Genomic DNA, 25,063 nt, shown 5'->3' with positions numbered 1-25,063 from the left:
GAACAGAAATTTACTGAGGAAGCTCTAAGGGCCTCTGAAGTGTAGGTCATGCAGAGGTTTTTTTTTTTAAACCCAGAATTACATCGTCTATCCATATTGTTATGAGTCACATCTTACCAGTCCTACACTCCAGGCCACATGTGGCACATATAGCTACATACCACCATCTTGGTCAACCTGAGGGATTTCTGGTGAAAAAGAATATGAAGATGAAGGTAAAAATAAAGATAAAGATGTAAAGGGACAAGGAGCAGGAAGAGAAAGAACAGAAGGAGGAAGAGGAACACGAGGAAGAGGAGGAGTAGGACCAGGATGACAAGAAGCCACCACTAGACTTAAAAGACATCTCTCCAAATGAAGATATGCCACTGAGAATTAAGCAAAAGAGTACAAAATGCAAAGATGAGCAAAATATATGTTAGAATACAGAGCACTAGAAATCATAAATTCTAGGAGTTAGAACCCATTGGTGAATGAAGGGGATTTTCATTATTGATTGTGGTGCTAGTTTAAGAGATGTGCTGATATTGAGAATACTCACTGGGTTGTGATGTGTTTGCTTTACTGAACGCATGTGTATCATGCAAGCCTGCCACTTCTCTCCATATTTGTTCTTCACTTTAGCCCAGTGGTCACTTCTGCATCCTCAGGTCACTTAACCTTCATGAGTTTTCTATGAAATCTTCCAATTTACTAATTTAAACCTTCCCAACCATCCTTACTGTTACCTGAGTTCTAGATTCATTTTTCCAATTTTTTTCCCTGACCTTCCAATTTGCCTCTGTGATAGATATTTAAATGTGCTCCAAAATGAGCAGTTTTCTCAGCTTTTATCACCAAGTCTAACAGTCACTTTCATCTCTATGAATAACACTATCATCTTGCTATTTGCTTTCATTTTCCAAAGAATGTAGCAATTTTTATCCTTAATTTACCACTTTTCCTGACCATTTAACCCATGTTCCAGCAAGTTCTATGCTAAAAATTAACTTGAAATAATTCATAGACATAAATGTAAAACCAAAAACCATACAACTTCTTTTTTTTTTTTTTGAGACTGAGTCTTGCTCTGTCGCCCAGGCTGGAGTGCAGTGGCGCGATCTCGGCTCACTGCAGGCTCCGCCTCCTGGGTTCACACCATTCTCCTGCCTCAGCCTCCTGAGTAGCTGGGACTGCAGGCGCCCGCCACCACCCCCGGCTAAATTTTTTGTATTTTTAGTAGAGACGGGGTTTCACCATGTTAGTCAGGATGGTCTTGATCTCCTAACCTCGTGATCCGCCCGCCTCGGCCTCCCAAAGTGCTGGGATTATAGGCGTGAGCCACTGCGCCCGGCCAAACCATACAACTTCTAGGAGATAATGGAGGAAAATCTTTGTGATCATAGTGAAGCAAATATTTCTTACATAAAAACACCAAACAAGACTGTAACAGGAAAATTAAGAAATTAGATTTTCTCATAATTAAATGCAATGCTCTTCAAAATATCTTGTTAACATTAAAAAGAGGAGCTACAAATGATTAGCATAAAATATCTACAAATAACACAGCTAGTAATGAATTTGTATGCAAGATATATATCTAATTTCTTAGATAATAGGCCGTGTCCAGCCTAAAATTTTTTAACCAAATACTAATCATTTTTATTTATCTTGTAACATAAACCATTAAGTTATATGAATAAGCAAAATCTCAGTTATGGTTAGAAATCTCTCACTCCGCCAGGTGCGGTGGCTCATGTCTGTAATCCCAACACTTTGGGGGGCCGAGGTGGGTGGATCACCTGAGGTCAGGAGTTCAAGACCAGCCTGGCCAACATAGTGAAAGCCTGTCTCTACTGAAAATACAAAAAATTAGCCTGTCATGGTGGCAGGAGCCTATAATCCCGGCTACTTGGGAGGCTGAGACAGGAGAATTGCCTGAACCGGTGAGGTGGAGGTTGCAGTGAGCCGAGATAGGGCCATTGCGCTCCAACCTGGGCAACAAGAGCAAAACTCCTTCTCAAAAAAAAAAAAAAAAAAAAAGAAATCTCTTGCTCCATTAAAATGTTTTGTGGTACTGTAAGAAAGTGCAAAATCATTTTTACCATATCTATCGTTGTGAAAATATAATTCTGACGAAATATGATTTTAAAACATGTAAATATGGTACTCATGAATTTTTTTCAGTGTTGGAGTCTCCTCCTGACTGGGTTGTTTACATTCTCTCTACTGTTTTTTCTATATAAATGCAAATAAATAGAAGAAAATTTTTTTTTTTTTGAGACGGAGTCTCTCTCTCTCGCCCAGGCTGGCTGGAGTGCAGTGGCACGATCTCGGCTCACTGCAAGTTCCGCCTCCCGGGTTCACGCCATTCTCCTGCCTCAGCCTCCCGAGTAGCTGGGACTACAGGCGCCCATCACCACGCCCAGATAATTTTTTGTATTTTTAGTAGAGACGGGGTTTCACCGTGTTAGCCAGGATGGTCTCCATCTCCTGACCTCGTGATCCGCTCACCTCGGCCTCCCAAAGTGCTGGGATTACAGGCGTGAGCCACCGCACCCGGCCAGAAGAAAGATTCTTTAGAAATATATAAAACTCCTTTTCCTCATTAATCTTTTACTTCACCAGTTTAGCTCTCATTGATGATTTTCTATCTCCATCTATTTTAACTGACATTTTACTATAAAGTATAACTTTTTCTTTCCTACTTCATTCATTCATTCATTTATGTCTGTGGACTCATGGATTATTTTTTTCTCTTTAAGCAGATTTAATGAAGTGTAATTTACACACAATAAAATTTGCCAGTTTAAAATGTACAGTTCAATGAATACTGGTCAATATATACAGTTGACCCTTGAACAATGTGGGGATTAGGGATCCTAATTTAAAGATTCTTATGACTCCATCATCTTTATGCCAAATTAGAGGGTGTTTAGGATCAAGTAGACCACTTCCACAACTTTGGTGTTGATCTCATGGGGTTCTGGCTGGCCAGGGGCATTGTACAATGTCAAAAGAACTTTAAAGGCAATTACTTTCTGTCAAGGCACTTCCTGACTTCAGGAACAAAGCATTAATGGGAACAACCCAGAAAAAATGGTTCTCATTGTCCAGGCCTTCTTGTTGTACAACCAAAAGACTGACAGCTTGTGCAAGGGTTTGGGGTTAGCAGTTTTATAGATAAGGGCAGTCCTTATCATAAAACCAACTACATTTGAACAAAACACTGGAGTTAGCCTATCCCTTTCTGTTTTAAATCTTGGTATGTTCTTCTCTTACTTACTAATAAATGTCCTTTGTGGCAGTTTTTCCCAAAACAGGGCACTTTATTTGCATTAAAAGCCTGTTCAGGCCGGGTGCAGTGGCTCATGCCTGTAATCCCAGCACTTTGAGAGGCTGAGGCGGGTGGATCACCTGAGGTCAGGAGTTCAAGACCACCCTGGCCAAGATGGCCATCTCTACTAAAAAAAAACAAAAAAATTAGCTGGGCATGGTGGCGGGTGCCTGTAATCCCAGCTACTTTGGGAGGCTGAGGCAGGAGAATCGCTTGAACCTGGGAGGTGGAGATTGCAGTGAGCTGAGATCGTGCCATTGCACTCCAGCCTGGGCAACAAGAGCAAAACTCTGTCTCAAAAACAAAACAAAACAAAAAACAAATCTGTTCAGGTTGATATAATTTCTTGTCAGTGGTTCTCTTAATGGCACCTGGGACATTGTTGGCTGCCTTGTAGTCAGCAGAAGTTGCTTCTCCTATTATCTTGACATTTTCAAAGCCAAACATCTTTCTAAAATTATCAAACTTTCCCTTGCTGCCATTAAATTCTCCAGCTTTAGATCCTTCACCTTCCTAATGCTTTGAGTTGTCATATAATGACTGTTTCTCAAATCGTATTTGAGTCTCTCTGTATGCCTTACCCATGGCAATTCTGCACCCACATGAAAGCTGCATTTTTAAATGAGATAAAAGATATATTTTGCAGAAAATGCAAGATTTTTGTGCCTGCTGGCATAGCTGCAGCAATGTCTTTATTTCCTTTTTTGTTTGTTTTTAACAATGATCCTCATACTGGATTAATTTATCTTGAAATGGTGGGCAACTACAGCTGCAAACCTCAATCTATAGTACATATCAAGCAGTTCAGCTGCTTCTTATAATGTCATGACTTTTCCCTGCTTCTTGGGAGCACTTCCAGCATCACTACTGGCACTTCATATAGGCCATATAGCGTTACTTAAAGTTTACAATATCGCACTAAACACTATGAATAATATATTAGAACCTTGAGAGATCACTTTTTACTGCAATATGTGATTTACTGGAGAGATGAACTGCTCATGTGGAGATGATTAACATCATGGGGTTCTTTAAGTGAATACTCACAACACTGTGAACAACAGGAGATGTCTACAAAATTATTATGGTACTGTAGTATGTCCTGTAGTTAATTTTATCAGCCCAGCATGATGGCTTATGCCTGTAATCCCAGCACTTTGGGAGCTCAAGGTGGGAAGATTGCTTGAGGCCAGGAGTTGGAGAGTAGCCTGGGCAACATAGCGAGACCCCTGCCTCTACAGAAAATTGTTGAGACAGGGTCTTACTCTGTTACCCAGGCTGGAGTGCAGTGGCACAATCACAGCTCACTGCAGCCTCAACCTCCTGGGCTCAGGTGATACTCCTACTTCAGCTCCCCGAGTAGCTGGAACCACAAGTGCGTGGCACCATACCCAGCTAATTTGTCTTTGTTTTTTTGTAGAGATGGGGTCTTACTATATTTCCCAGGCTGGTCTCAAACTTCTGGGACCTGCCAACCATCCCAAAATGCTGGGATTACAGGTGTGAGCCACCATGCCCAGCCTGTACAGAAAACATTTTAAAATTAGCCAGTGTGGTGGCATGTGCTTGTGGTCTCAGCTGCTGGGGAGGCCGACGCAGAAGGATCACTTGAGCCCAGGAGTTTGAGTATGCAGCAATCTATGATCATGTCACTGCCCTCCAGCCTGGGCGACAGAGGGAGACTCTGTCTATTCAAACACACACATACACACATGCACGATTATGACTTAATACTGCATCTTTGGCTGGGTGTGGTGGCTCCCAGCACTTTGGGAGGCCGAGGTGGGCAGATCATGAGGTCAAAAGATCAAGACCATCCTGGCCTATGGCTGTCGGTTTGGGACTGAACAAAAGAGAACAAATGCAGAAATGAAGACAAAGACAAAAAGATCTGTTTTAAAGAAGGAGACAGGCGGCTCCTTTCTTCTAGGGAACAAGGGCCCTGAGCTTCTACAGCCCTTTGTATTTATTAGGTAGAATCAACAGGGAGGAAGAGGTAATGGTTGGTCAGCTGCTTGATTTATCACAGGCTCACATAATTGCTTTCTTTATACAACAGCCTCCAGATGTTCCTATAGATAACCACAAGGAACACTGCACGTGGGGTATGACTGCCCTCAGCATTCCTTCTGGTGGCAGATGCAGTTGTCAGCTTGCCAGCATCCTGCATTCATGAGAACAGTTTGCTGTTTGCTCATATAGCCTCCAGTGGTATACTGAGTTGGTCACGACCCTCATTCTTTCGGCCTCCAACCTCCCCCCTTTTCTGTTTTTGTATTAATTGAATAAAGGTAATTGCAGGCTGTGCAGCTCTCAATTGCCGGTTGGTGGTCCAGCTGATTTTACAGACTATGAACAAAAAACAGAAACATAATAACATTATTCCGATAATCACAAAAAAGACATTGAGGTGCTGTTTGAAGTAGGTCCAAGGGTTAAGGCTCCCTAAACCTTGCTGGAATTCTGCCCAAGCTTTTAAAGAGGGCTGAAGCACTTGAGTCTGCTTATTCAAGTTAAGGATTTTACTTTGTGAATCATTAATATCAAAAGTAACATTGAATGTAAAACTCCCTGTAAATGGGCCTTTACAAAGTTCCTTGGATATTCACTTTGATTATATTCCAAATTAGTTACACAAATATGAATAGGGTTAAAATGACAATGCAATTGCTGCTGCAACTTCAGGCTTTGTATTTGTTATCCTAGCCACAGAACAGTAGTCTTTAACATTGCCACTTCTGTTTGTATCTTGGTGTTAATTTTATTTTGAAGCATCCATTCCTGGTCGGCTGTGCACATCCAATTTTTCACACATTGAGCTGTTTGAATGGAGCTGTGCAGTGCTACTGAGGACAACACAGCAGAGGTTATTAGTGTGACTAGGGAAATTATAGCAAAAATTATCATGCCTAAAGCTCTACGAGCACGATGAGTAAGCTGAATAAGAAGGAGTTTTACAAAATGTAAAGCGGGGGTGGCCTCCCAAGGCTCGGACAGATTTACAGGAATCTATAATCCAGGAATGTGACCTAGAATTATTAGGGTGGATATGCTGTGTGTTTGTATTGTGCTATGATTAAGGCAATGATACAGTTGACAGGCATCACAAATCGATTGGGCATTGTTTACCCGGAGTTGGTCCTTTTTTGCTGCTAGAAAAACATACGGATTAAAAATACAAATTGTAAACTGTGTGGTAGTATTTTCTACAAAGGTAACATTAAAACTGCATTGAGCATTATTACTATTATTGGATAGTGTCCCAACCCAAATGCTGCCATTCATAAATGGGAGTGCTGTCTTCCATATTGACTCCTGAATTGGACCTCTCTTTCCTTGATAATGCCATTGAGGCAAAGGTGGGCTAAAGCCCATTCTGTGCCAAGCAAGTTGTGTAGCAGATTGGGATGTAGCGAAGAGATGTTCAAGTTTCGCCACCAGTGCCAGCAAAATTTATGCCATGAGGTCTGATTCTCACTTCTCCCATCTAAATGACCATGGGGACCCCAGTCGATAATGTCTCCCATTAACATGGACTGTTGTTTAGCTAAGGGGCCAAGACACTGAGTCCAAGGACAGGGGTGAGAATTATCAAAGGGAGCCCATTCTGTACAATCAATACAATTTGGGTGATGGGGCCAGGAGTGATTAGTAACTACACCAGTAATATTAATAGAGCTAAGGCCTAATAGGTACATAATTTTTCCATGGTAACTCAAGCATGCTTGGGACTGAATTGCAAGGCAACTGCGGTTGAGTGATGCATCCTGGGTGACACATAAAGAAGTCCCTCCAATGGTGCAGTATAATTGATACCATTGTTCTGAGAATCTAATCACTCTCTGTCAGGGGGAGTTAGGGGTCCTGGTGTCCATGCTCCCTGATCATGATATATCTCAGGAGGAGTGTTGCTCCCGAGTACCGGTCGTACTACTGGTGGGTTAGGAATATATGCCCAATAAGTTTTTGCCTCTGCACAGGGAAAACATACCGCACAGGATATTACAGCTAGCATGGCCATAAACATGGAGTCAGGGGTTTTGCTCCAGCAGTTTCTCAGCTTCCTGTGTGGTTTTCTTGAGCTGTCCCCATTTTATGGGGGTTGATGTCAGTGTGACTCCAGTCGGTCCTTGTTCTGTCTTTGCATTCAGATTCAACTAGCTCATGGCTCGTACTGGAGGAGCTGGGCCCACAGTTGAGATCCATGGATTTCTCCAGTCTCCCGTTCCATGGTCACACACACCTTGAGGGCACCCACACGGATTGTCCATCTCCTGTAAAAACACAAGCAAACCCTCGTCCCCATATCAGTAAGTCTACCGGGCCTTTCCATTGTCCTTCTTCCGGGGATTTCTGTAATACCTTTGGGTAAACTTTCCTTTTTCCCTCTAACATTTGCCAATGTCATTCTGCCAGAGTCTTAATATCCATACCAGGAGTCAAAAAATTTAAAGTAAATAAGGCTAAATGTAATTTTGTTTGAGGTGGTAGCTGGTCTCCTAGTCCCCATTTTTGTTTTTTCAACATGCATTGTAATGTTTGATGTGCCCACTCTATGATTCCTTGTCCTTGAGGATTGTAAGGAATTTCTGTTTTATGAGTGATTGCCCATAACTGTAAAAAATTTTGAAAAGCATGACTAACATAAGCAGGTCCATTGTCAGTTTTTCATTGTGTAGGGACCCCCATATGGGCAAAAGGTGACAGACAATGTCATCAGACATGACCAGCTGTTTCCCCAGTTTGGCACGTGACATGTAGCATATGGGAGTAAGTGTCTGTAGTCACATGAACATAGCTGAGTTTGCCAAAGGCTGCTATATGTGTAACATCCATCTGCCAGATTTCATATGGAGCCAAGCCTAGTGGGTTACATCCTTCCATGGGTGCAACGCCAGGGACAGGCTGGCAAGTGGGGTAGGCTTGCGCAATAGCTCAAGCCTGGCTGCAAGGCAGATGAAACATACGAGTAAGGGCAGAGGTGTTTTGATGCAGGAATGCATGAGAAGATTGGGCTTGTTGAAATACAGAACCGATTAGTTTATCTGCTTTATTGTTACCTAGAGATAGTGGTCCAGGAAGTTGTGTGTGATAGCAAATATGAGAAATATGAAAAGGAGCAGCATGAGAGTGAACAGCTTGTTGAAGTCTTAGAAACAAATTATACAGCTCTGGTTCTAGGGTGCTTTTAATAGTGGCAGTCTCAATGTGACTGGCTACATTTACAATATAGGCTGAATCACAGACAATGTTAATAGGAGATAAAGCGGTGAGCTGTAAAACTTGAATAACTGCCACTAATTCTGAGCATTGAGCTGAAACTCCAGAGGTCTTTATTGTTTCAGTATGCTTAGGTCCATAAATAGCTGCACAGCCTTTAGAAGAGTCATCAGTAAAATAGGTCTGTCTGCCTGGAATAGGCTTGTGATGAGTGATTACAGGAAGGGTAAAAGGGTGAACTTCATAAAATTGCAAAATTTTGTCTGATGGATAATGGTTATCTATTATTCCTACAAAATCTGTGAGAGTGATTTGCCATGCAGTCGACATTTCCCATGCTGTGGCCTGTTGTTGGGAATCCAAGGGAACAATAATTTTGTCTGGATCACATCCCATAAACATTTTTGATCTATGCCTACCTATTGTTATAAGTTGAGTAATTAAAGAAAGATAAATTTGCAAAGATTTCACTGTCTGATTGGATAAAAAAGCCATTCTAATACTATTACAGATTTGTGTATGAATTGGCCTAAAAGTCCTGTTGGAGAATGGGAGGTAGGAAGAATAAACAGAAGCAAAGGCTTTTGTGGCTGTAACCAGGTGGCATGTTGTTGCTGAAGCATCTGTTCTACAAGCTATAATTCAGCTTCTGCCTCCTTAGTAAGTTGCCGAGGAGAGTCTAATGAAGAATCTCCTTGGAGGGTCTGATAAAGGTGTTTGAGTTAATAAGTAGCAATACCTAGCATTGGGTGCAGCCAATTAATGTCCCCTGATAATTGTTGGAAATCATTCAAAGTTTGTAATCTGTCCCTACAGATGACTACTTTCTGAGGCTGAACACTTCTTTCAGTAATAATAGTGCCTAAGTACTGGTATGGGGAGGTGGTTTGCACCTTTTCAGGAGCTATTTTGAGATTCCATTTAGTCAAAGCCTGTTTTGTTTCTCTGAATAACTGATGTAAGATTTGATCTGTAGGAGCGGCCAAAAGAATATCATCCATATAATGAATGACATAGCCAGTGGGAAACACATTACAAGGCTCCTTTAATGCCTGTCCTACAAAATTCTGATATAATGTAGGACTGTTAAGCACGCCTTGGGGCAAAACTTTCCATTGATAACAAGAGACAGGCTCCCTTTGATTAACAGAAGGCACAGAGAAGGCATATCCAGGCCTATCCTGCTGATGTAATAGTATAGTAAAAAAAACAATAAGATCTATTACTACAAGAGGCCAGTCTCTTGGAAATGCCTGCCAGGGATGGCAGACCTTGCTGTAATGCACCCATTGGTTTAATCTGTGCATTAATAGCTCTCAAATCATGTAGCAGTCCCCATTTTCCTGACTTTTTTGGTATTACAAATACTGGTGAATTCCAGGGGCTGACTCTTCAATATGTCCTGCATCCAATCGCTCTTTTACTAGCTGATGGAGTTGAGTTAGTTTCTCCTGTGAAAGGGGCCATTGATCCACCCATACAGGTTTGTTAGCCACTCTAGTGGCAAAGCAGTGGGTGGAGGAGAAATATCAATGACCCACATCAGAAATCTGACGACCTAGCCCTTTTCTATCTGTTTGCCCAGTTATTGATATAGGATCAGGGTTTTCCTGTAGGGACTTTCCTAAGCCTTGTCTGCTCTGATATCTCATTTTCTTTAACATTTTAAATCCTGGATTGCCAATAGTTTAATTTGTAAGTCTCATATCCTATGCCGTAAGCAAATCTTCACCCCAGTTTTCCACATCAAGAGTGTCTGTCTGTGGAAACCATGGGTTATGCGTGATAACCTCCTGCAGCAGCTTAGCTAGTGTTTGAGAACTAACCTGAGCACCAGATTGTTTAAGTAAACCTTTAAGTGACTGCATATAATGTTGCTCTTCAGCAGACAAATTCTGCCCTATGTTACCCTGATTCAGAAACTTCCCACTCCCAGTACCTCTTTAGGGCACTGACCTTATATCCACTGCCAGCAGACTTGTCCTGGGGTTTCTCATTCTTCTGGTCAGTTTCACTTTCTCTGCTCCAGCAGACCTTCTTCACTCACGTCCCTGTTCGGGCGCCACTTGTGGCTGTCGGTTCGGGACTGAATGAAGAAGGACAAATGCAGAAATGAAGACAAAAAGATCTGTTTTAAAGAAGGGGTCAGAGGGCTCCTTGCTTCTAGGGAACAAGGGCCCTGAGCTTCTACAGCCCTTTGTATTTATTAGGTAGAATCCACAGAGAGGAAGACGTAACAGTTGGTCAGCTGCTTGATTTATCACAGGCTCACATAATTGCTTTCTTTATACAACAGACTCCAGATGTTCCTGTAGATAACCACAAGGAACACTGCACCTGGGGTGTGACTGCCCTTAGCATTCCATCTGGCTGCAGACACAGTTGTAGGCTTGCCAACATACTGCATTCATGAGACTAGTTTGTTGTTTGCTCATATAGTCTCCAGTGGCATACTGAGTTGGTCATGACCCTAATTCTTTTGACCTCCAACACAGACCAACGTGGTGAAACCCTGTCTCTACTAAAAAATACAAAAATTAGCTCAGCGTGGTGGTGCACACCTGTAGTTCCAGCTACTCAGGAGACTGAGACAGGAGAATCACTTGAACTTGGGAGGCAGAGGTTGCGGTGAGCCAAGATCATGCCACTGCACTCCAGCCTGGTGACAGAGAGAGACTCCATCTCAAAAAAAAAAAAAAAAAAAAAATACTGCATCTTGTGTTTGTTTACATTTCTCTGGAAGCACCAAGTACAGTCTGTGTTTATGTGACTCTTGACTAATTTTAACCTTGTATAATAGATTTATGTATATTTTATGGTAGTAAATGATAAAATAGTACCTACATATATTTTGTATTATGCATTCTTGACATACTTATTTCAATGAATTCTGGTTTTTGGAAATTGTCTCAAATATTCAAAAAACTTTCCAATATATTTATTGAAATAAAATTCACATATAATTGGACCTGTACATTTCAAACCTGTGTTATTTAAGGGTCAGCTGTACTGTCATGAAACCACCAACACAGTCATGATAGAGAAAATTACCATTGCCTGATAACATTTTCCTGTACTCTTTCAGTCAGAACCTTCACCCTCAGACCACAGGCCCAATAACCAGTGATCTGCATTCTTTTACTCTAGTTTTGCAGCTTCTTCATTTCATATAAATGGAATCATACTGTATGTCAACTTTTGTGTCTGGCTTCTTCCACTCAGCTCAGGGCTTTTTTTTATCTATGCTGTTTTTGCTTGTATTCATAGTTTATTTTTTATGTTGTTGAATGGTATTTTAAGGATATACCATAATTGATTATTCCTTCTTCTGTTCATGGACATTTTAGTTTTGAGTGTGTGTATGTGTGTATGTGTGTGTGTGTGTGTGAAAAACAGCTTCTAGTGTTTGGCTTTTATAAATAAAACTGCTGAGCATGCAAGTGTAAGTATTTCTAGGACACATGTTTTTGTTCTCTTGGGGATATCCCTATAGGTAAGATTCCTAAGCTATATGGTAAGTTTATGCTACCTTTAAAGCTGCTACACTGTTTTCTGAAGTTGTTTTACTACTTTTGCAACTTTGTTGAAAAGAGATTGACAATAGAGTGTTGTGTGAGTGTATTTCCGGGTTCTCTATTCTCTTCTGTTCATCTCTATGTCTGTCCTTTAGCTAATACTTTACTCTCTCAATTACCGTACATTCATAAGTCTTGAAGTCATAAAGGTTTTCAAATTTATTCTTATTTATAAAATTGTTGGCCGGGCATGGTGGCTCACGCCTGTAATCCCAGCACTTTGGGAGGCTGAGGCGGGCAGATCACGAGGTCAGGAGATCGAGACCATCTTGGCTAACATGGTGAAACCCCGTCTCTACTAAAAAATACAAAAAAGTATCCGGGAGAGGTGGCGGGTACCTGTAGTCCCAGCTACGCAGGAGGCTGAGGCAGGAGAATGGCATGAATCCCAGGGGGCAGACACAGCAGTGAGCTGAGATCATGCCACTGCACGCTAGCCTGGGTGACAGCGAAACTCCGTCTCAAAAAAAAAAAAAATAAATAAAATAAAATAAAATAAATAAAATTGTTTTGGCAATTAGTCCAGGCCCTTTGCATTTCCATGTAACTTTTTAGAATACATTTGTAAATTTTTATTTAAAAGATTAGGTTTTTATTGGGATCGTCTCAACCTATAGAACAGTTAAAGGAAAACTGACAACTTAAAAATATTAAATCTCAGATTCAGGAACTTCTTGTGTCATTTATTTATGCCTTCCTTAATGTCTCTCAGGAATGTTTTATTTTTATAGTTCTTGAACATATTTTGTTAAATTTATTTCTAAATATTTCATATTTTTATGCTATTGTGAAGTACATTTTTTCAGTTGCCAAGCATGTATTTGCCAGCTATATACCAACTTAGAATAGTGATATATACTTTGTATACACTGGCCTTTTTATCTTAGGACCTTGCTAAACTCAATTATTAGATCTAGTAGCTTTTTAGTAGACAATTTAGAATTTTCAATATTATCATGTTATATGTAAATAAAGAGTTTGGGTTCTGCCTTTACAATCTTAAGACTTTTTGTTTTTAATGAGAAGTGATAAATGTTGACATATTTATGTTATTCCTAATGTTGGGGAAAATCAACTTATCAAATATTTGATCACATATATATCAAATGTGCTGTTAGCTGTTTGTTTTTCATAGATGTGCTGTATCAGGTGGAAGAAATCACCATCTTGTTCTAGTTTGCTGTGTGTATCATAACCGAGTTTTGAATTTTGTAAAATGCTTTTATTACATTTTGAGATTTTCATTTTAGTCTGCTAATACAGATTAACAAAGAGTTTGAATTGTTGAATCTAACTTCTATTCTTGATAAACCTCACTAGGTTATGATTTATTATTGTTTGTATATGGCTGGATTCAATTTGCTAAATGTCTTTTTGTTTTGTTTTAGCATGAGTGCAAGTTTATTTAAAAAGGCTTTACAACAAGAAAGAAAGGGAAGTATACTTGGAAGAGACCCAGCGGGGTGATTTGAAGGACAAGTGCCTCAATTTGCTAAAATTTTGTTAAGGCTCTGTCTATATTCATGTGGTTATTGGTCTATAGTTTTATGTCATTGCCTCTTTGCTGTCCTGTTAATGATAACTTTCATATAGTTCAGAAGTGTTTGAACTTTTCTCTTTTTGGAAGAGTTTGTATATAATTGGTATTACTTCTTCCTTTAATATTTCATAAAAGTTCTTACATGTTTTAGGAATGACCCTCAGCTGATGCCATCAAGAAAAAGGAATCTCAGTCCTACAACCACAAAGAACTTAAATATGCTAACAACTCAAAATAAGCAAGAAACAGATTCTCCATGAGACTCTAGAAAGGAACACAATCATGCCAACACTTTGATTTTCACCCAGTGATACCTGTGTTATACTTATGACCTAAAGAACTGTAAGATAATATATTTGTGTTGTTTAAACCGTAAGTTTGTGGTGATTTGTCAGGATAGCAATAGAAAGCTAATACATCAACATTATTCTGTGAGCATCTCTTTACTTTCCAATGCAATATTTCCTAGACTCATGTTGTACCTTTTCTGCCACAACCAGAAAACAGCCTCTTCTCTAAGGAGTTCTGCTTCCTTTTATTAAAAAATTATATAAGCCAATAACTGGGCATTAAATATGCTCAAAGCTACTGGAATGCCACTGCTTGCTAGGATATCTCACAAAAGATAGGGAATATGTACACATTATCTATATACATCAAATTCTTTATCTGTAGTTAAACCTACAAATATTTCAGAAGTTGGATATTTAAAAAGATTCCTAAGACTACAGTAGCATACTCACATAAGGCTTTTATTTATAGGCAAAGATATGGTATAGTAAGAGAATAGAACACCAAATGCACAAGGAATAAGATAACAAATGGATAAACTGGGCTTCATAAAAATTAGGACAATCTCCTCTAGGAAAGATACTGTTAAGAACTGAAAACAAGGCCAAGCATGGTGGCTCATGCCTGTAATCCCAGCATTTTGGGAGGCTGAGGCAGGATGATCACTTGAGGCCAGGGGTTAGAGACTAGTCTATGTAACATACCAAGACCTCAACTCTAATTTTTTAGAAAGAAAACAAAAGCCACAGACCATGAAAAAATACTGCCAACGCTTATATCAAATAAGGAATTTGTCTTCAGAAATGTTAACAACTTGCAACCAAATATTTTAAAAAAACAGGCAAAAAATACCAACTGACATTTGACTAACGAAGATATACGTGTGACGAATAAGCACATTTAAAAATGCTCAAAACTGAGTCATTCGAAAAATACAAATTAAGAACTACAATGAAATACTACTGCACACTTAGTAAAATGGTTAAAATGAATGGCCTATGACTTCCATACATGTAAACTGTCAGTAATATGAAGAAATGGAAAATCTAATATATTCCAGGAGGAAATATGAAATGCTAACCATTTAGAACACAATTTGGCAAGTTCTTAAAATTTGAAACATTTGGATCAACTTACAGAATATCTGAGTGAGGAGATTTGCCGACCTGTTACGCAGCCAAACTGGTGAAAATTATAAAAACACAATTCAGTCTCTGGAAGCGGACATAAGGGTTTATGGCAAGTAAATATTTATTAAAGAAGATCTAACATTCATAAGAACAGCAAAAGTGAGTAACATCTGAATCGAGACCACTCCTTTCCTCCCCCAACTCCAAACTCAGTGAGATTAAAACTCCATTCGACTGGTGCAGCCAATACAGGGCTCCCTCTCTCTGGAGCTCCAAGACAGAGGGCTATTTTCTCAGGAGGAACAATCTATCAGGAATTCTCATCCTGCCTCCAGTGTGCATATTTGGATGAATGATGTTCAATTGCCAGCTCCCTCATAAAGATCACCCTCAGAGTTTCTGGGTTTTTTTTGTTTTTTTTTTTTTTTTTTGAGACGAAGTCTCACTCTGTCACCCAAGCTGGAGTGCAGTGGCGTGATCTCGGCTCAATGCAACCTCCGCCTCCCGGGTTCAAGCAAATCTCCTGCCTCAGCCCCCCAAGTAGCTGGGACTACAGTTGCCTGCCACCACGCCGGGCTAATTTTTTTTTTTTTTTTTTTTAGACAGAGTCTCACTCTGTCACCCAGTCTGGAGTGCAGTGGCGTGATCTCAGCTCACCGCAAACTCTGCCTCCTAGGTTCATGCCATTCTTCTGCCTCAGCCTCCTGAGTAGCTGGGACTACAGGCGCCCACCACCATGCCCAGTAAATTTTTGTATTTTTAGTAGAGATGTGGTTTCATTGTGTTAACCAGGATGGTTTCGATGTCCTGACCTTGTGATCCGCCCGCTTCAGCCTCCCAAAGTGGTGAGAATAACAGGTGTCAGCCACCACGCCTGGCTGTTTCTGCTTTAAGTCAGGTCATATTGATTCAGCGACAGTCTAAGGCCTTTCTCCAGTCTAAACTTTCTGGTGTTGAATACGGTTAGGCCTTTGGCTGAGGCCTTTTACCATATTCACTACATTGTCCACTCTGTGAACTGTCCAGTGTTGAATGAGTTTGGAGGTATAGCTAATGGATTTCCATTAGTAACCTTCAAGACTTTTTTACACTGTGAACTTTCTGGTGTTGAATGAGGTTGAAACACCAGCTAAAGGATTTCTCACAATCATTGTATTTCTCCAGTGTGAATCCTTCGATGTTTAACAAGACTGGAGCTGTGGCGAAAAAATTTCCCACATTCCCTGCACTCATAAGGCTTTGCTCCAGTGTGAACCCTCTGATGTTTAACAAGGCTGGAATTCTCACTAAAGAATCTCCCACATTCATTGCACTTAAAAGGTTTTTCTCCAGTGTGAACTTTTCGATGTTGCATGAGGCTTGAGCTTTGGCTAAAAAATTTCCCACATTCACTGCACTCATAAGGCCTTTCTCCAGTGTGAACACGCCAATGATTGATAAGGCTGGACTTGTGGCTATAGAATTTTCCACATTCACTGCACTTATAAGGTCTTTCTCCAGTGTGAACTCTCTGATGTTTCATGAGGCTGGAGTTGAAACTAAACAATTTTCCACATTCACTGCACTCATAAGGCCTTACTCCAGTGTGGATTCTGTGATGCTGAACAAGTGTGGAATTATGCCTGAAAGCTTTTCCACATTCACTGCATGTAAAAGGCTTTTCTCCAGTGTGAACTCTCTGGTGTTGAATGAGGTCAGCATTACGGCTAAAGGATTTTCCACAGTCACTACACCCATAAGGCCTTTCTCCAGTGTGAACTATTTGGTGTATAAAAAGGTTGGACTTATGGCTAAATAACTTCCCACATTCACTGCATTCATAAGGCTTTTCCCCAGTGTGCAGTCTCTGGTGCTGAACAAGTAAATATTTCTGACCAAAGGCTTTCCCACATTCACTGCATTTGTAATGCCTTTTTCCAGCATGAAAGGCCTCCCTACTTTTGGAGCTCCTATGTGACTTCTCTCCCGTGTGAGTCACCTGGTGCTTGAGAACACCTGAGCTGGTCAGAAGATCCTTCCCAACTTCCCTGCTTTGCAAGGACTTCTCTGATAGGTGGACTCTGCAACTCCTCAAAACTGGGACCCTGCCCTCTTGTCTTTTTAAGGGTTTCTCTCCACAGTGCTGCTTCTGGTGTTGCTGAACGTTTGAACTGGGCACTTCTACAGAAGCACTCTGCTCAGCAGCTGCCTCAGCCTTGGCTCCTTGCCAACTACCTGAAAGAAGAGAAATGTTGATGAAGTAAATGTAGTCTTTGGTGTGAGAAGGCAGCACTCTCACACGTGTCTGACACACCTGGTAATTAGCGTGTGGGACTGCTTGCAGAATGAGGGGGCTAGCGCTTGGTGGGGAAGGGCCTGCTGTGCAGTGCTGAACCTGGCTAGCTCACAGATTTGGGGAGGCCTCATGAGCACCAAGGATGCAAGGATGTGGTGTAGCACAAGGAGGAGAGGCAGAGTCCCCAACACAATCCTCTGCAAATGGCTTTCCACAGGGTTTTGGCTGCTGGAGACACAGGAACACGGCACAGAAGGTTATATCCAGGTCCAGAAAAAAACAACTGCAGGATGGGCGCGGTGCCTCATGCCTGTAATCCCAGCACTTTCGGAGGCCAAGGCGGGCAGATCACGAGGTCAGGAGATCGAGACCATTCAGGCTAACATGGTGAAACCCAGTCTCTACTAAAAATACAAAAAATTAGCCAGGCATGGTGGCGGGCGCCTGTAGTCCTGGCTACTAGGAGGCTGAGGCAGGAGAATGGCATCAACCTGATAGGCGGAGCTTGCAGTGAGCCGAGATCACGCCACTGCCCTCCAGCCTAGGCGACAGAGCAAGACTCTGTCAAAAAAAAAAAAAAAAAACAACTGGAATGAAATAGTTGGTGTCCAAGGACTATGCAAGAATAAGCGCCCCACCTCACCACACATTCAGTGAAAGCCACTGCTGAAAGGTGCTGCTGAGGATGGGGTGAAACATGGAGTACAGAGAGGTGGGGAATGGCCCTGGGTCAACTATCAGAATAGATATAAATGGGTGACTGAGGAAGAAAAGATAGAAATCAGCGACGACACCTTGCCTTGGTATCAAAATATCTGGGCCCACTGGAAAGACTCCTGGTATGATACAAACCCATACCCGAGTTCATACCTCCCTGAGCTCCACCCACCAAGTACCTCTCAGTATGGCTGAAGTCACAACTTCCCAAGCAGGCATGAAGGGCTCCTCCCATGACTCCAGCTGGGTTATTTCATGGGTCTTGGAAGATGCAAGTCCTAAGGAAAACGACAGGTGAGTGGCAGCACTGAGCCAGAATGACTTATCTCATCATGGACCACAGGAAAGAAAACAAAATAGTACAGAAAGAACCTTGGAGGAGGGTCTTGCAGGAACAACCCAGTCAAACAGCAATCACATTGGTGACTCAATTGCTGGCACAGACCGACACCCAGGTATGTTGGCTAGAGGAGACAGGCAGAATGTAGGGGAATAGAACTACCACAGATCTGCACAGTGTCACCAGGCCACAGAGAGGCCACCAGGGATAAGATCCATCAAGCTGACTGCAAGACTCCTGACCCCCAAACCCTTTCCTGCACAGCTGTGGGGCAGCTCAGGGAGAGAAGGTGGTAGTATACACAGCCCAGGCCTATTACAATAGCTACTTCAGGATACTGGAGAAGGAATGAGTGCCCACAGTTCAGCTTTGGGAAGAACAGACCTCTCCCTAGGAAAAGGAGGAAAAGCCAAGTCCAGCTCAGGATGCTGGGGTGGGGTGTGAGAACCTTACCCAGAGAGGCCAGAAGTGTAAAGTTCTCCAGCATCACATTGCGGTAGAGGAGCCTCTGAGCGTCATCAAGCAATCTCCATTCCTCCTGGGAGAAGTAGACAGCCACGTCCTCAAAGGTCACATAGCCCTGCTAAGATGGACAGAGTTGAGTTTATCTGCGGTCTCCTTACTGGGGAATTTAGGCATCCCCCTAAACATCCACCCCTGCTCACCCTCTTCCTTAATCCCCATCTCAGAAGAGAGACCCTGCCCCAGAACCACTGATGCCCACTCTCTCCTCATGTTCCCACTGAGCAAGCAGAGGCAGGTAGGCAGATAAAGTCCATCTCAGCTCTGGGCATGGTATGCAGAGTCCTACTCTTCTCTTGCCAGACAACTCACCTTGGATCCCCCAGATTGTGTTTCCCAAATACAATCAAATTTGTGTCAGTGTTCTCCCTGAAGCACCCAATACAAGGTCCCTGGGGACATCTGTTTACACTCATTAGAATGTGCACATACTCTGTACCACAACCACTGCCCCCTGCACCACCTTATGTGCCTCCCCTAGCGTCACCACATTCTAGTCTACACATGGCATCCAGAGGGCACTCACCAAATGCAATCAGAACTCCATCCCTTCCTAGACCTCCAATGGCACTGACTACCAGGGGCAACCCTCAGCCCCACTTTGAAGGCCTCTCTACTGGGCTCTTTTTGTTGCTTCACCTTCAGCTACTTGGAACTGCACGCATATCTGGACACCTGTGGCACTCTTCCATTTCTGTGTTGAAAAGCTGTTCCTGCCCAATGTCAGCGTTCCTCTGACTCTCATTAGAATCGAAGGCCAGGACAGGCATGGTGGCTCATGCCTGTAATCCTGCCACTTTTGGAGGCGGAGGCAGGTGGATCACCTGAGATCAGGAGTTCGAGACCAGCCTGAACAACATGGAGAAACCCTGTCTCTACCCGAAATACAAAATTAACCTGGGGGTGGTGGCGCATGCCTGTAATCCCAGCTACTCGGGAGGCTGAGGCAGGAGAACAGCTTGAACCCGGGAGGTGGAGGTTGCCGTGAGCCAAGATCTTGCCATTGCGCTCTAGTCTAGGCAACAAGAGCAAAATTCCATCTTAAAAAAAAAAAAAAAAAGCCCACGTCTCCCAAACCAGGCCCAGCAATTCTCTCAGATGACCTCATTTGATCTTGAGCTAATCCAGCAGCCTGAGAAACTCCCCAGGTCCAGGTAAAAACAAAAGCCTTGTGATCCCACAGTTGGATGAATAAGCAGCAGTGCCTGCCTTCCTGTCATCTTACCTCATTATAGCTTCATCTTCATGTCCATCTCATGTCTATCCCCACAGGAACTTTGGCCACTAGTCAGACCCTCCTTACCCCTACATCCCTTTCCCCATGGCCACCATTCTCCCTCATGTCCTTGTGAAACCCACCACTCCCATCCAGGTATCCAAGCAAGAGACCCAGTTCTTGGCCCCTATACATTCTCCCTTATTACCTAATGGCATTACCAATAGGACCTCAAGATGCTCCCTCCTAAATCTGCTCCACTGCTCCATTTGGTCCATACACCAACTGTATCATGTGGGTTTCCAATCTGAACCCTTCACCTGAACTCCAGACTTCTCTGTCCAGGTGCCCACTCAATGAATCCACTCAAGGGTCTCTGGAACATCTCATATCAACATGGCCAAAACCTAACTTAATTATTCCCACTGAAAATTACTCTTACCATTAACCTCTTTCTCCCACCCTACACTTTAGAAAATCTGCCCATATCTACTTAAAAAACACAGACTCTGGCTAGGCGCTGTGGCTCATGTCTGTAATCCCAGCACTTTGGGAGGCCAAAGCGGGCGGATCATGAGGTTAGGAGATCGAGATCATCCTGGCTAACACGGTGAAACCCCATCTCTACTAAAAATACAAAAAAATTATCTGGGCGTGGTGGCAGGTGCCTGTAGTCCCAGCTACTCGGGAGGCTAAGGCAGGAGAATGGCTTGAACCAGGAGGCGGAGCTTGCAGTGAGCCGAGATCATGCCACTGCACTCCAGCCTGGGCGACAGAGCGAGACTCCATCTCAAAAAAACAAAAACAAAACAAAACAAAAAAAACGCAGACTTCAACCACATCTCCTACGTCCACAGCCACCACTCTGGTCCAGCACTCACACAGACTACTGTAGTAGCCTCTTTGCTGGACTCCCAGCCTCCACCTTTAACCCTACAGGTGTTCTCAAAGCAGAAAAAGCTTGTTAAGATTGGGCCGTAATCCCTGTGTAGCCTTCCCCATTTCCATCCTTCCTGATATCCAGGAAAAAACAAACAAACAAAAATACAAACAATAGAGGCCCAGCTCCTCAGCCAACCACTTCAGGTCTGCCTTATACCTGCTGATGCTTCCCCCAGTCATAATGGAGATCTAAGGTTGCCTAAGCATTCCCAGCTCAACCTTACCTCCACGTATTTTCTAATGTTGATCACTATGCCTTCTAAATCTCCTGTCATTGGTTGCCAGAAATGAGAACCTCTCCATATAACATATAATCTGGGCCAGGCGTGATGGCTCATGTCTATAATCCCAGCACTTTGGGAGGCAGAGGTGGGCGGATCACCTGAGATTGGGAGTTTGAGACCTGCTTGACCAACATGGAGAAACCCCGTCTCTACTAAAGATACAAAATTAGCCGGGCGTGACGGCACGTGCCTGTAATCCCAGCTACTTGGGAAGCTCAGACAGGAGAATCGCTTGAACCTGGGAGGTGGAGGTTGCGGTGAGCCGAGATTGTACCATTGCACTCCAGCCTGGGCAACAAGAGCTAAATTCCGTCTCAAAAATAAATAAATAAATAATAATATGTAGTCTGGACTCAGGACCCTGACTGTATGACCATTTTGCAGGGAACTCAAATGGAAGGGGAGGGAGAATAGCCAGCAAGGAGTCCCAAGACACCATAATTCTGAAGACCATGTAGGTAGGAGTTGAGGAGGGTGAGGGCCTGAGACATCCTCCACTTACCTTCTCATGGTCTATAACTAACTCTGAAGTCACAAGAACCTATGGAAAATCAAGACCATGAGAACCAGACAGTGATGTTACCAAAGGATCATCCAAGCCCCCTCGTCTAGCCTGGAGTCAGGTGTGCCTGACTATCTGCAATCTGGGCTTTGGTTCTTAGTGATGCCTCTTACCTGTTGTGTGCCCTTGGAAAAATGCTCAACTTCCCTGTGCCTTGGTATTGCCATCTGCAACATGGCAATAATGGTATTCACTCAATAGGACTATTGTTTGTATCAAACTCATTCTTATGTGTCTAGGACTAAATATCAACTCTTACTGTACACATAATTAATGCTTCTGTCAACATTTTCAGTGCAAATAAACTGGTAGGTTTTCAAAATGTGGGTTTCTGCCTGGGTGCAGTGGCTCAAGCCTGTAATCCCAACACTTTGGGAGGCCGAGGTGGGCAGATCACAAGAGCAGAATTCTGTCTCAAAAAAAAAAAAAAAAGAAAGAAAAAGAAAGACAATGTGGGTTTCCTTTTGGCAATCTGGCTGCCTGCTATATACTCCCCTGAAGACCATCCTGCTGAGAGCCCTCCCTTCTACTGGAGCAGTTGATCATCCCACCTGTGCTGATAGCTAGGGAAACTTAGGCACCAAAGGTGCTGCTCCACCAGCCTGGCTGACCTTTCCTTTTCTCCATATGGACTGGACATGAGGAACTACTAAGCCTGGAGTGGCAAACCTATATACTACCCAACACTGCGGTCTCCATCCAGTCCTGGGTGTTCATACTCTATAACCCTCCATTCCTGCAGGCACCAGACAAAATCACTTCGGACCACGAAACTCCAGGCTGTAGAGGCTGCCCCATCCTACAGGCCCATCTCTCCCTTCCCTCACCTCAGGGACCATCTGAAAGAAAACTTTAAGATTCTCCCTCCTAAATACGAGCCCCAGGCCTTCCAGCTGCTCATGTGGACATGACACCTCCACTCTGGGACATCTCAGGATCACCATGCCCAAAACCTATTCCCTGCACAGCCTTACCCATCTCCATCCTTCCTGATATTCAGGAACAAACAAAAATACAAATAAAAATCCAGAATGGCTCTTCATTCCCTACTTTCTTTCACAGTCACATCTGATGCAACAGGAATTCCCGTCTGTTCAGTTTTTGAAATCCATCCAAGATCTGATCACTTCCCCTCCTCTGTGGCCCAGTCCCAGTAGACTCTCCACTAGTCTACTGAATTTACCTACTCACAGGTCTGTCTTCACCCGCCTCACCCCCACCCCAGTCTGTTTTGACTTGAAGGGCCTTTGGCAAACTTTGAGAAACAGATCTTGTCACTCTTCTGTCTCCAGCCCTCCGCGGCCACTGTGGCCCCCTCAGGATGAAAGCGCAGCTGCTCGGGCTGTCGCTCGACACGCGCCTCGTCCCTTCCCAAGCTGCCCACTACAGACACCAGGAGGCCTCAGGTTCGGGACTCGCTGAATGCGCCTCACATCTTTGCGAGCCGGGCCCCTTGCCCTCCATTGCCACCCCATCACACTGCGTGTCAGAAACGGGACGCCGCCCACGAACGCCCCACAGTTCTGCACCCGGGGACCTGAGCAGGCGGCCCTCACAGGGCTTTAGGATTCGGGGGAGGCCGGGAGGACGCGGCGCTCACCTGAGCGGGGTCCCTCAGCGTGGCCGCCGCCATCGGAGCCTGTGGCGGTGAGACAACGACCGAGGAAAGGGCCCGGGCCACCCTGGGCGCCGCCACCGAGCCTCAGACCCGCCTCTGAGCTGCGAGAACACAGCGCGTCCCCACCGCGCTTTCCGGAGCTGGTCGCCGCAGCGAACAACCAGCTTCCGGCAAGCTGAGTTCTCTTGAGGGCAGCGAAAGCAACCGCCGAGGGGAGACGCCGGAAGTCCCGCCCATTGCGCGTCGCACTCTCGGGTAGACCTCTTTTCATTGGCCAAGCATCGCGGCTCACGGCGCGGCGCCTTCTGGGCAGTGTAGTTCGCGTGGCTCCAAACTTCGAGGAAGTGGGCATAACTTCGGAGATGGAGATTGGAGACGGTAGATGATGGAGATGGAGATGGAGATGGAGATGATGGAGATGATGGAGATGGAGATGATGGAGATAGAGATGATGATGGAGATGGAGATGATGGAAATGGAGATGATGAAGATGGAGATGATGGAGAAGATGGAGATGATGGAGAAGATGGAGATGATGGAGAAGATGGAGATGGAGATGATGGAGTAGGAGATGGAGATGGAGATGATGGAGATGATGGAGATGGAGATGATGGAGATAGAGATGATGATGGAGATAGAGATGATGATGGAGATGGAGATGATGGAGATGGAGATGATGGAGATAGAGATGATGATGGACATGGAGATGATGGAGATGGAGATGATGATGAAGATGGAGATGATGGAGAAGATGGAGATGGAGATGATGGAGTAGGAGATGGAGGAGAAATGAGTGTCGAGAACTCTCGGACTCATCTGGAACCTGTTGTAATTGGAGATGGGCCTGGATTTCAGTTTCCTGCAGCTGATACTCCAATCTTTCCTTCTTTTGAAGGACTTGAAGAGGATCTTCAGGGCCACCATAAAGAGGTTTCACTGGGCAAAGCCACGTATACCTTCCTAAATTTCCTTTGGCAAGGGGACACCCAATATTAATGCCTGATGTATGATAATAAGAAAAGGCTCTGAATTCTGGATGTAGGTGATGAGAGAGTAGGGGAGCCCAAGGATTTACGTTCCTCTTTCACCCCATTCTCATTTGTGTTCTTTCCTTCCTCAAGGACCCAACATTGGTGTAAAGGCACAACAACAGGCAGCAAACCCATAAGCCAACTCCCCCTCAATTTCTCCCCTTCATCCATTTCTGCTCCATATTCCTGTCACAGTTACTATGGGACTGAACGAAGGGGAACGAATGCAGAAATGAAAACAAAGGCAAAATAAATCTGTTTTAAAGAAGGGGTCAGGGGGCTTCTTGCTTCTAGTGAGGAAGGGCCCTGAGCTTCCACAGACCTTCATATTTATTGGGTAGAAAGAGTAGGGAGGTGGTGGCTTACGCCTGTAATCCCAGCACTTTGGGAGGCCAAGGCGGGTGGATCACAAGGTCAGGAGATCGAGACTATCCTGGCTAACACGGTGAAACCCCGTCTGTACTAAAAAATACAAAAAATTAGC

At 43.5% G+C, this 25,063-nt stretch overlaps 1 protein-coding gene across 11 annotated transcripts; it reads right to left on the bottom strand.

Moving 5' to 3' along the window:
• Window positions 1-5,206: 5,206 nt before the first annotated feature.
• On the bottom strand, window positions 5,207-23,706 carry ZNF773 (zinc finger protein 773). 11 transcript variants are annotated; one of them, XR_007066799.1, is made up of 7 exons: window positions 23,531-23,706; window positions 18,858-18,987; window positions 18,244-18,342; window positions 17,051-17,286; window positions 15,080-15,124; window positions 10,493-10,622; window positions 7,221-7,590 (listed from the first exon to the last, which is right to left on the bottom strand). XR_007066799.1 is itself a non-coding variant. In NM_001304335.3 (5 exons), the coding sequence occupies exons 1-5, from the start codon at window positions 23,561-23,563 to the stop codon at window positions 10,576-10,578; spliced, it is 351 nt and encodes a 116-aa protein (NP_001291264.1). In that variant the 5' UTR covers window positions 23,564-23,706; the 3' UTR covers window positions 5,207-10,575. The 11 variants fall into 11 exon arrangements, 5 of the variants coding, with proteins under 5 accessions (NP_001291264.1, NP_001291266.1, NP_940944.1 ...); XR_007066800.1 differs by lacking the exon at window positions 15,080-15,124; NR_130705.2 differs by lacking the exon at window positions 17,051-17,286.
• Between the last annotated feature and the right edge of the window lie 1,357 nt (window positions 23,707-25,063).

The sequence above is a fragment of the Homo sapiens genome, chromosome 19 (genome assembly GCF_000001405.40).
Source record: "Homo sapiens chromosome 19, GRCh38.p14 Primary Assembly".
In the NCBI taxonomy this organism is placed as follows: Eukaryota; Metazoa; Chordata; class Mammalia; order Primates; family Hominidae; genus Homo; species Homo sapiens.
This window is presented reverse-complemented; position numbering and strand designations above follow the sequence as displayed.